The sequence below is a fragment of the Homo sapiens genome, chromosome X, assembly GCF_000001405.40.
Source record: "Homo sapiens chromosome X, GRCh38.p14 Primary Assembly".
In the NCBI taxonomy this organism is placed as follows: domain Eukaryota; kingdom Metazoa; phylum Chordata; class Mammalia; order Primates; family Hominidae; genus Homo; species Homo sapiens.
The window spans coordinates 119503761-119516632 of record NC_000023.11 but is presented as its reverse complement, the minus strand read 5'-3'; the positions used below and the strand labels follow the sequence as shown (position 1 = coordinate 119516632).

Here is a 12872-nt window from a genome sequence, read left to right as displayed (position 1 = left end):
GTGTCCTGAAGCAGCCATTTCATCATCATTTCACTCTCCTCTAGCCCCCAACCCCAGCTAGCCCCCTTTTCATCAGAAAGATTGGTTTCCATCTTCACGGAGCAAAATTGAAGCCAACAGCGTGAACTTCAGCCTCACACCAACTGGGCTGCAGATTCAACTCAAATGCAATAGCGCCCCCTTCCTCTCTATAGGAGACACTGCAATGTGCTTCCCTGATCTTCACAACAGAAAGACTCAGTGCCTAACAGTAGAGAGCCCTCAGCTGGTGGACCCCTTTGGGGACAGCCTCAGCTGAAGAAACCCACTTTGCCCAAGGGCATGCCTCCTTCCCAGGACAGCCTGTGTCCAATGAATGACTGATGTGGGGATATAAAGGCCTGGCCCCCTTGTCTCCACTCTTAGCTTCAGAGCTTCCCATAGGTCTGGCTGAGGCCTTTGTTGAATCTGCATTGCAGCCCAATGTCTCCTTTCTCCAGTCCTGCTTCCATTCCTTCCTTTCCACGCGTGATGATCCCAAGAGTACTCCCTAAGAAACCTCCTGCATGCTAATCTCCATCTCAGAGTCTGCTCAGCAAATCCAACCTGCACCACCCTCTCCCCCTCCCCTAACTCCCTCCTCCTGCCCCAGGCTGACACCCACCTCCCCCATGTATTCAGTTCAGTCCTCCTCACTTCCCCTTGGACTTTGCTCTATTACTTACCTCCTCTCTTTCCTGAAGCCTCAACCTTCCCCTCTTTCTCCATCTCTCCTCCTCAGCATGTACATTTGAACTAATGCCTTCAACAAAAACCTTTGACACAGAGCCTACTTCTAGCTTTCATTCTTTCCTCCCCTTCACAGTCTAAGCTTCTTGAAGAGGCCTACTGTGATCTTGCTTCGGTCTCCATCACTGCTGAAATGGTTCTCCTTTTTCAGCCCTGTCTTATTTGACTTCTATGTGAGTGTGGCTCCGATGGCCATCCCCTCTTCCCTTCATTTCTAGGACACTTGGCCCTCTCCCACTTTCTTTTCTTTCTTTTCCTTCCTTCCTTCCTTCCTCCCTCCCTTCCTCCCTCCCTCCCTCTCTCTCCCCCTCTTTCTTTCTTTCTTTCTTTCTTTTTTTCTTGTTTCCTCACTCTATTGTCCACGCTGGAGTGCAGTGGTGCAATCTCGGCTCATTGCAGCCTCCGCCTCCTGGGTTCAAGTGCTTCTCCTGCCTCACCCTCCTGAGTAGCTGTGACTACAGGTGTCCATCACCACGCCTGGCTAATTTTTGTATTTTTTGGTAGAGACGGGGTTTCGCCATGTTGGCCAGGCTGGTCTCGAACTCCTGACCTCAAGTGATCCACCCGCCTGGGCCTCCCCAAGTGCTGGGATTACAGGCGTGAGCCACTGCATCTGGCCCTCACCCACTTTATTTTTTTATTTTACTTACTTTATTTATTTATTTGAGACAGGGTCTTGCTCTGTCACCCAGCTTGGAGCACAGAGGCTGGAGTGTAATGGTGTGATCATTGCCTGCTACAGCCCCAAATTTCCGGCTTCAGGCAATCCTCCCCGCTCTGCCTCCCAATGCACTGGGATTACAGGTGTGAGCCACTGTGCCCTACCCATGAAACACTTTTATATCCGACTATTAGACACCCTACGTTCGTGTCTTACAGGTATCTCAAACCCAGTGTATTCACAATGGCTCTTGTCTTCATTCCCTGCTTCAAACTGGGTCCTCCCTGTGTTCCCGGATTCAGTGAATGCTACTGTGTATCTGGTTACTCAAGCCAGAAAACAGATTTCTCTCAGCACAATCTCTCTCCCTTCTTACTTACTTCCCAACAACCAAAGTAATTTGGTGGCACGTGCCTGTAGTTCCAGCTACTCAGGAGGCTGAGGCAGGAGGATATCTTGAGCCCAGGATGCCAAGGCTGACCTGAGCAACATAGCAAGACTCCATCTCAAAAAAAAATGTAATTTGGATCATGGCATTCTTCTGTTTAAGATGCCCCAGTGGCCCCCTGTTGCCTTTATTTATTTATTTATCTATTTATTTTTGAGACGGAGTCTCACTTTGTTGCCCAGGCTGGAGTGCAGTGGTGCGATCTTGGCTCACTGCAACCTCTGTGTCCTGGGTTCAGGCGATTCACATGCCTCAGCCACCAGAGTAGCTGGGACGACAGGAGCCTACCACCACGCCCGGCTAATTTTTGTATATTTGTAGAGAGGCGTTTCGCCATGTTGACCAGGCTGCTCTCAAACTCCTGGCCTCAGACGATCCACTCACCTCAGCCTCCCAAAGTGCTGGGATTACAGGCGTAAGCCACCGTGCCTGTGGCTGAACTATTTAATAAATGATGAAGTATTGAATAAAAACCCCTTCAATTGGCACCCCTCTCATGTGGCCCTTGCCTGTCTGGTTCCATCGCCCCCGCCCCATCTAGCACTTTATATTCTAGCACAACTGGGCTACTTGAAGTGCTTTGAACATGCTTCATTTTGTCATGTCTTGGGGCCTCCTTTGCATATGTTCTTCTCTCTGCAAAGCTGCCTTGTTCCTCCCTGGTTACTCTTCCCTCCCCCACCCCTTATTTAATCTTCAGGTGTCTTTACAAGTGTCCCTGACTCTCTGAGGTTGACTTAGGCCCTCGCACTTCCTCTCCTCTTTACAGACATCCACTGGATCTCTTGCAGCCTATCCAGTGCCTCTCTTTCTGTGTCTGTCTTTCTATGAGACTGAGTTCCTTGAAGGCAACAGTTTCATCCTGTAATCCCACGACCTGGCACAAGGTTTGGTGCTTGGTTGCCACTTATTAAGTGCTTGTTGGATGAATGAGTCAGTGGAGTGCAAGTAGACAGCAGGAGAAAAGGAAACGAGGTTTGACGGGAGACAGGAGGCTCTTTGGTATCTGACAGACCCAGATTATCCCAAAACACAATCTGCTGTGATCTCTTAATTTCTCTGCATTACAAAAGAAGCACAAAGGATCCAGAGCCTGTGGAACCCTGCCTTGTGCCTGGGCCAGGCATATAAGACCCTTGCCCAACTGTGCAATGATGGTTTCTACCTGTGTCTATGGACTCTGTGGGTGTCTAAGAGGTAGGGCCACCCACCCAAACGTTTTGTTAACTGACTTATATGGAAAGAGGAGAAAGAGAATCCTGACAATGCTCACTGCTTCTGCAACTGCTTGTATAATACAGTCACATCTGTCAACCCCACGTGCTGCAAAAAGATTCCAGGAATCCTGAGATGTTGCTGCTCTCAGCCTTTGGGGTAGCTGGGCTGAGCCTGGGGCAGCTCTGGCCACAAGAAGCCTCCTTCTTTGTGCAACACAAATACCATTTTCTGTGTCTGCTGCAGACTTAAAAAGGTTAATGAGCACTGTTGGATAATATCTAATCATTCTGGTCAGGTACTGCAATTTTGTGAGTGCCCACCTGGGACCTTGGCATCTTGAATTTACCCATATATTTCCCCCCAATTAAAGCCTTTTCTCGGCCGGGCGCGGTGGCTCACACCTGTAATCCCAGCACTTTGGCAGGCCGAGGCGGGCGGATCACGAAGTCAGGAGTTTGAAACCAGCCAGACCAACATGGTGAAACCCCATCTCTACTAAAAATACAAAAATTAGCCAGGCGTGGTGGCACGTGCCTGTAATCCCAGCTACTCAGGAGGCTGAGGCAGGAGAATTGCTTGAATCTGGGAGGCGGAGGTTGCAGTGAGCCAAGATCGTGCCGCTGCACTCCAGCCTGGACAACAGAGCGAGACTCTGTCTCAAAAAAAAAAAAAGTATTTTCTCATGTTTTCAAGTAGGACAGGGATATTTGTTTATTCCCCATTGTATAGGTGAGGAAACCAAGGCGCAGCGAGGTCAAGAGACCAGCACACTCCAGCATTGTCAGAGACAAATCAAACTGAGGAGCTGGCTGAAGCCCGCACCCTCTGAGGCTGTCCAGCTGCAGTGCATTTACACTCTGCCCACAAGAGGTCAGTAGGTTCCACAGGAGCAGAGCTGGCTACAGGGAGGCCCGCACAATGAAAGGTGGAGCCATCCTCCCTGAGAGCAGCCCTGGTTACTGGCTGCACAGCAGCTACCTAGAAGGAAATCCTTCTAACAACAGGTTTTCCAAGAAGTCCTTCTTCCAGGGGTGGACCAGCGGTTGGGGCTGGCCAACGGTGTGTATCCTGGGAGGGCTGTGGGAGTTCCCAGGGGCAGCTGCTTTATTATATTGCAATCCTCAGGGTTTGATAAGCTATTTGTGGAGGGCGGTGTCTGTAGATGGGGCAGCTGGCGTGCTTCCATCTGCCTAGAAAGCTGCAACCATCTCCACGGTAATAACTGGAACCAAAAATATCACACGGCTGTCTGCTAGGCCAGAACGTTCCTGTCTGTCTGCTCTCTGGAGGCTGAGGGTGGAGGAGACTTAAAAAGCCATATATTGCCGGGCACTGTGGCTCACGCCTGTAATCCCCACACTTTGGGAGGCCGAAGTGGGTGGATCACTTGAGGCCAGGAGTTTGAGACCAGCCTAGGCAACATGGTGGAACCCCGTGTCTACCAAAAAAGACAAAAATTAGCTGTGTGTGGTGATGCACGCCTGTAGTTCCAGCTACTGGGGAGGCTGAGGCACGAAAATCACTTGAACCCGGGAGGCAGAGGTTGCAGTGAGCAGAGGTCATGCCACTGCACTCCAGCCTGGGTGACAGAGCAAGACTCCATCTCAAAATAAAATAAAATAATAAGATATATATATTTCTATATATTTCTATATATATATTTCTATATATAGAAATATATATATTTTTATATATATATATAGCATCCCCAAGATTTAGAATCAGACAGACCTGGGTTTGAATCTTGATTTTTCTTCTTATTAACTGTGACCTCAGGCAAGTGGCTTAACTTCTCTAGGCCTCAGTCTCCTCATTAATAGAATGGGGAATAATAATACCTGCTTTTCTGGCTGTTCTGAGGATTTATTCACTCATTTGAAAGATAGTGGCATGCCTGTCCTACAGTTGTTACTAGGTTCAGGGGATACAAGAGATTCAACGCCTGGCACATAGTAAGTGCTGAATTAATGATAACTTGTTTTTGAAGGTCATGCCACGAATTTGGACTCAAAATAGCAGGCAGTTGAAAGCATTCTGAAAAGAGAAGTAGTAAGAAAAAAACACTACTTTTTTTTTTTCTTTCTCAGGCAGGGTCTCACTGTTGCCCAGGCTGAGTGCAATGGCACAATCATAGCTCACTGCAGCTTCGACCTCTTGGGTTCAAGCAGTCCTCCTGCCTCAGCCTTCCAAAGTGCTGGGATTACAGGCGTGAGCCACCATGCTCAGCAGGAAAACAATATTGAAGAGGCTTCACCCCTACCTGCAGTGTAGAGGCAGGATTGAAAAATGCCAGCCTTATCATTTTCATAGAGTTGTTCTGAACATCATAAAATAGGGCAGAGCAAGAGGCCTAAGACTAATAAATAGTCGGGAGTTGAACCCATATTGCAACTGGGGACAGGGACTGCTCCTAAAATCATAGGGCCACAGTCTGCCTCTCCCCTGGGAAGCAGCAAGGGGAAGGAGGGGCTGAGAAGAAGCCTTCTGTCTGCTCACTGGAAGCTGAGGGGCTTCATTTTGCCGATCACCTGGCCTGTCTTCGGGCAGTGGTTTCGGGATGTGGGAAGAAGGTGTGGGCGTGCATATGCAGCAGTGAGGATGTTTGAAGGATGTGAGAACACAAGAACATAAAATGCCACCCTGTGGCTGAGCCATGGATTCCTCTGACTCAGACAAGGTCATCATGGAACATGAAGACCCAAATGTCATCTTTGAGTCCTTTGGTAAACTATCAGGTGTGAGTTTATCCAAAGCTTTCAGAAATTGCAGTATTTCTTTTCACCCTGCCTCACCAATTGGGATGTTTTCCACACGTTTTCGCTTCCATTTAAAGATAAGTTATTTTATTAAAAACATACCTCTCTGGAAGAGCTCTACAAGGAGAACTACAAAACACTGCTGAAAGAAATCATAGATGACACAAACAAATGGAAACACATTCTATGCTCATGGATGGGTAGAATCAATATCGTGAAAATGACCATACTGCCCAAAGCAATCTACAGATTCAGTGCAATTCCTATCAAAATACCAACATCATTTTTCACAGAATCAGAAAAAATCCTAAAATTCATATGGAACTAAAAAAGAGCCAGAATAGCCAAAGCAATCCTAAGCAAAAAGAACAAATCTGGAGGTATCACATTACCGGACTTCAAATTATACTACAAGGCTATAGTTACCAAAACAAAATAGTACTGATATAAAAGTAGTTACATTAACTGGGCGCGGTGGCTCACATTTGTAATCCCAGCACTTTGGGAGGCCGAGGCTTGTGGATCACCTGAGGTCAGGAGTTCGAGACTAGGCTGGCCAACATGGTGAAACCTCATCTCTACTGAAAGTACGAAAATTAGCCAGGCATGGTGGTGCGTGCCTGTAATCCTAGCTACTCAGGAGGCTGAGGCAGGAGAATCACTTGAGCCTGGGAGGCAGAGATTGCGGTAGGTCAAGATCACGCCACTGCACTCCAGCCTGGGCAACAGGGAGAGACTGTCTCAAATAATAAAAATAAAATAAAATAAAAGTAGTTATATTAGACCAATGGAACAGAATAGAGAACCCAGAAATAAAGCCAAATACTTACAAACAACTGATATTTGACAAAGCATACGAAAACGTAAGTTGGGGAAAGGATACCCTATTCAATAAATGGTGCTGGGCAAACTGGCTAGCCCCATGTAGAAGAATGAAACTGTATCCCTATCTCTCACCTTATGCAAAAATCAACTTGAGATGGATCAAAGACTTAAATCTAAGACCTGAAATCATAAAAATTCTAGAAGAAAACCTAGGAAAAACTCTTCTGGACATTCTTTGCCTAGGCAGGCAAAGAATTTATGACTAAGACCCGAAAAGCAAATGCCACAAAAACAAAAATAAATGGGACCTAATTAAACTGAAAAGCTTCTTGCACAGCAAAAGAAAAAATCATCAGAGTAAACAGAACCCACAGAATGGAAGAAAATATTTGCAAACTATGCGTCCAACAAAGGAGTAATATACAGAATCTACAAGGAACTCAAACAAATCAGCAAGAAAACAAATAAACAAATAATCCCATTAAAAAGGGGGCAAATGACACGAAGAGACATTTCTCAAAAGAAGATATACAAACGGCCAACACACACATAAAAAATGCTCAACATCACTAATCATCAGGGAAATACAAATTAAAACCATAATGAGATACCACCTTACCCCAGCCAGAATGGCCATTATTATTATTATTATTATTGAGACAGAGTTTTGCTCTTGCCCTCCAGGCTGGAGTGCAGTGGCATGATCTCGGCTCACTGCAACCTCTGCCTCCCGGGTTCAAGCGATTCTCCTGAGGCTGAGGTGTGCGGATCACCTGAGGTCAGGAATACAAGACCAGCCTGGCCAACGTGGTGAAACCCCATCTCTACTAATGATACAAAAATTAGCCAGGCGTGGTGGCAAGCACCTGTAATCCCAGCTACTTGGGAGGCTGACACAGGAGAATCACTTGAACCCGGGAGGCGGAGGTTGCAGTGAGCTGAGATCGAGCCATTGCACTCCAACCTGGGTGACAAGAGCAAAACTCCATCTCCAAACAAAAAAAGAAAAAAAAAGAAAAAGAAAAAGAATGAAATAATGTCTTTTTCGGCAACTTGGATGGAGCTGGAGGCTGTTATTCTAAGTGAAGTAACTCAGGAATGGAAAACCAAATACTGTATGTTCTCACTCAGAAGTGAGAGCTAAGCTATCAGTACACAAAGGCATGTGGAGTGGTATGATGGACACTAGAGACTCAGAAAGGGGAGGGTGGGAGTGGGTGAAGGATAAAAAACTGTAAAATGGATACAATGTATACTACTTGGGTGATGGGTGCACTAAAATCTCAGAATTCACCACTATATAATCCATCCATGTAACCAAAAACCACTTGTACGCCAAAAGCCATTGAAATAAAAAAAATTAAAACAATAAAAAAGGTGAAAAAAAAAGAAAATAAAAACACACCTGTCCAAGCTAGGTGTGGTGGTGCATGCCTATAGTCCTAGATACTCAGGAGGCTGAGGGCGGAGGATTATTTGAGCCCAGAAGTTCGAGGTCAACCTGGGTGACATAGTGAGATCCCATCTCTAAAAAATAAACCAATCAACAAACAACCCCTTCCCCACTTGCCACAAAACACACCTTTCCCAAAGAAAGTATATATACCAGAAGAAATAATGCCCTTCTTCTGGTATGTAAGAATTCCCGGCCGGGTGTGGTGGCTCACGCCTGTAAATCCCAACACTTTGGAAGGCTGAGGCAGGCGGATCACGTGAGCCCAGGAGTTGGAGACCAGCCTGGCCAACAAGGTGAAACTCCGTCTCTACTAAAAATACAAGAATTAGCCGGGCGTGATGGCACACGCCTGTAGTCGCAGCTACTCTGGAGGCTGAGGCATGAGAATCGCTTGAACCTGGGAGGTGGAGGTTGCAGTGAGCTGAGATTGTGCCACTGCACTCTGGCCTGGGGAACATAGTGAGACTCTGACTCAGAAAAAAAAAAAAAAAAAAAAAAAGGATTCCTTCCAGGAGTCTGTTAGCAGTTGCCCTCAAGACCAGCAAAACTGGAGGGTGAGGGAACTGAGATTTTCTGGAATAGCCTTTTTTATGTCTTTTTCTACGTAAGCAGATTGAGGATCAGAAAGTTAAAGCGACTTGTCCGAGGTCTACAGCTACTAAGTGGTTGATAGAACTGGAAAGCCTCCTAGGTTTCTAGTCAGGGAGACAGGTCTATGCTTTTTTTCCCAAAGCAAATGACTTCCCATTTTGGATTTATTTTTCTAGACTTCCCTCATTGCTTTAACTCTCCTTACATCCTCCCATGACCTCTTTTAATTCTGTCCACACAGCCACAGTTGGCAGCTAGACCAAAGTGGTTTGGTTTGTCAGATCCAGGAACAAGGGGCAGAGGCATCTAGCTAGCCTGGGCCACCTTCTGGGGAACCAGCTAGGTTTTAATTCAATGCCAGTGTTCAGGAAGTAAAGCAGTTGCTCTTCCTGGCAGGCATCAAGGAAGCATGCTGGAACTAGAGTCCTTGCCGAGCTGGACTGAGAGGGAAGCAAGGAACCCGTGGAGAGGGCCATTTCTAGACTGAGGAATGCAGGCCTGGCTCTCCACTCAAGGCCATCCCCGGGTGATGTTAGAAGTCAAACCAAAGTTAGCTGACATAGAAGAGCCATTCATTTTTTTCTAGAAAAACTGATTGAGGCCGAGTGCGGTGGCTCACGCCTGTAATCCCAGTACTTCAGGAGGCTGAGGTGGGTGGATCACTTGAGGTCAGGAGTTTGAGACTAGCCTGGCCAACATGGTGAAACCCCGTCTCTACCAAAAATACAAAAATTAGCCAGGTGTGGTGGTGAGCACCTGTAGTCCCAGCTACTCAGGAGGCTGAGGCGGGAGGATCGTTGGAGCCTGGGAGGCAGAGGTTGCAGTGAGCTGAGATCGCACCACTGCACTCCAGCCTGGGTGACAGAGTGGGAGTCTGTCTCAAAAACAAAAACAAAAACTGTCCCGGCATGGTGGCTCACGCCTGTAATCCCAGCACTTTGGGAGGCCGAGGTGGGTGGATCACGTGAGCCCAGGAGTTGGAGACCAGCCTGGCCAACATGGCGAAACCCCGTCTCTACCAAAAATACAAAAAAAAATTAGCTTGGCGTGGTGGTGCACGCCTGTAATCCCAGTTACTCAGGAGGCTGAGGCAGGAGAATGGATTGAACCTGGGAGGCGGAGGTTGCAGTGAGCCAGGATCGCGTCACTGCACTCCAGCCTGGGCAACAGAGTGAGACTCTGTTTCAAAAAAAAAAAAAAAAAAAAACAGTAATGGGCTTTTGGCTGGGTGTGGTGTCTCACGCCTGTAATCCCAGCACTTTGGGAGGCCAAGGCAGGTGGATCACGAGGTCAGGAGTTCGAGACCAGCCTGGCCAACATAGTGAAACCCGTCTCTACTAAAAAATACAAAAATTAGCTGGGCATGGTGGCGCATGCCTGTAACCCCAGCTACTCGGGAGGCTGAGGCAGGAGAATCGCTTCAACCCCGGGAGGCAGAGGTTGTGGTGAGCTGAGATGAGGCCACTGTACTCCAGCCTGGGCAACAGAGGGAGACTCCATCTCAAACAAAACAAAGCAAAACACACCAAAAAAAAAAAAAAATGATTGAGCTGACTAGGTGCCAAAGATACCACTATGAATGGCAGAGATGAAGTTCCTACCTTCATGGAGTTTATGGCCTAGTGAGAGCAAAAAAAAAGTTTTTGTTTGCTTTGCTTTTTTAACACATAGATGTTTTCTAGCCACGTTGTCTGTCCTCCATCATGTTCTGGTCAGGGTTGGAGTACCTCTGGGACCTTTGAACCTTGTGTTTCTGGTGCCAAAGTAGTTGTGAACCTTGGGCTTAACCAGTGGTGAGTTTGTAAATGTTTAACGACCAGCTCTCGGGGTGGGGTAAGGTATGTGTATGTTTTTGTGTGTTTATGTACATAAGCTAATTAATTATAAATTTTACTTATGTAAAGGATATATAGTACACGAATTAGCCATAACAATAAAATATACAATATTATTTATTGTAAATTCAATATAGCCAAGTGATTCTCACAGAATGCTTTCATCGATTGTTGCCCAACTCTTATATCTGTGGTTGCACTTGATGAACAAATGTAGTTCTTTTTTTTTTTTTTTTTTTTGAGACAGAGTTTTGCTCTTGTTGCCCAGGCTGGAGTGCAGTGGCACGATCTCGGCTCACTGCAACCTCCGCCTCCTGGGTTCAAGTAATTCTCCTGCCTCAGCCTCCCGAGTAGCTGATATTACAGGTCGGCACCTAATCAACACTCAGTAAACATAGTAGATGCTCAATAAATATTAGTTGGATGAATGGATTAAATAAACATTTAATCTACTGTTACCTAGAACTTTACTATTATTTTGAGACAGAGTCTCACTCTGTCGCCCAGGCTGGAGTGCAGTAGCATGATCTCAGCTCACTGCAACCTCTGCCTCCCAGGTTCAAGCAATTCTCGTGCCTCAGCCTCCCGAGTAGCTGGGATTACAGGGGTGCACCACCATGCCCAGCTAATTTTTTGTATGTTTAGTAGAGACAAAGTTTCACCATGTTGGCCAGCCCAGTCTCGAACTCCTGACCTCAAATAATCCACCCGCCTCGGCCTCCCAAAATGCTGGGATTACAAGCATGAGCCGCCACGCCCGGCCGAACAAATGTAGTTCTGACGTGCATGTTGGTTGATATTTTCATTTAAGTGAGAAACAATGATGTCAGAACTGCATTCATTTGTCCACAATGTGAGTGATTTCTTTTTTTTTTTTTTTTTTTAAATGGAGTCTCACTCTGTTTGCCCAGGCTGGAGTGCAGGAGTGTGATCTTGGCTCACTGCAACCTCTGCCTCCCGGGTTCAGGTGATTCTCGTGCCTCAGCGTCCTGAGTAGCTGGGATTACAGGCGCACAGCACCACGCCTGGCTAATTTTTGTATTTTTAGTAGAGACAGGGTTTGGCCATGTTGGCCAGACTGGTCTTGAACTCCTGGCCTCAAGTGATCTGCCAGCCTCAGCCTCCCAAAGTGCTGGGATTACAGGTGTGAGACACCGTGCCTGGCTGATTTCCTTGCTGAATAGGTTAGTGGTTTTCAAACTCTGGAAGACTATTTTCTCATTTTTTGGTATTATTCACAATCTAACAGCTATAGATATGGCACACCTTTGAGTTTTATCTGCATTATTAACATTGTTTCTATTGCTTTCTTTCCTCTAGATAGACAACAAAAGAATAGATCAAGCCTGATTTATAGCATTTGCTGATTTCTGAGTTGTAAGTGTTCCCACTGTGGCTGATTTCAAGCAGTTAACTTCAATGTGATGTTGGGAAGAGACACAATTGCACACTATTATACAGTATTTCAACTCTACAGATACTGTAGACATAAATCATCTGAAGAGCACAGGTAATAGTAAAATGAAGGCCGGGTGCGGTGGCTCACGCCTGTAATCTCAGCACTTTGGGAGGCCGAGGCGGGTGGATCACCTGAGGTTGGGAGTTCGAGATCAGCCAGACCAACATGGAGAAACCCCGTCTCTACTAAAACTACAAAAAATTAGCCGGGCGTGGTGGCACATGCCTGTAATCCCAGCTACTTGGAAAGCTAAGGCAGGAGAATCGCTTGAACCCGGGAGGCAGAGGTTGCGGTGAGCTGAGATCGTGCCATTGCACTTCAGCCTGGCAACAAGAGCGAAACTCCATCTCAAAAAAAAAAAAAAAAAGTAAAATGATTAGGAGATGATGAGTTTTGGGACATTGATTACCTTAGTTTTTAATATAATTTATTTAATTGTAATTTTATATATTTTAAAATAAGTGCTATGCTTAATGACTGACTCACAAAACTTCTGAAAATATAGCATCTGGCTCTCATGGGCCAGAGGGAGCCAGCTCCAGCACATACCCGGGGCCAACTATATTTCCAAGTCCTGAATGACCCTCATCCCTACTCCCATGCCCCTTTGCCATTCATTCAGGACCCCATAGCCCACCGCCTTTGATGGGAGCTCCTGGATTCCAAAGCAAACCCTAGCTGGCACCAAAGCCTCACTGCCACCTTGAGCGAGAGTTCTGGCGACAGATTGACAACAGTGGCTTTTCCATGGGTGGGTGGCCTCTTTTTGCCTGGGAAGGGGTGGAAGAGAGCCAGGGACACTTGCATTGACTCTGGAATGCACACCTGGCAAGCACTCAAGTCTAAGAGGAAGAG

At 46.5% G+C, this 12872-nt stretch overlaps 1 annotated feature.

Annotated features, from left to right (window-relative positions):
- Positions 3813-4107: a silencer, noted in NCBI's record as "tiled region #13316; K562 Repressive DNase matched - State 12:CtcfO". NCBI's record gives its function as "represses a minimal TATA promoter and a strong SV40 promoter by Sharpr-MPRA in K562 cells {active_cell/tissue: K562}" and the evidence as "EXISTENCE:reporter gene assay evidence [ECO:0000049][PMID:27701403]".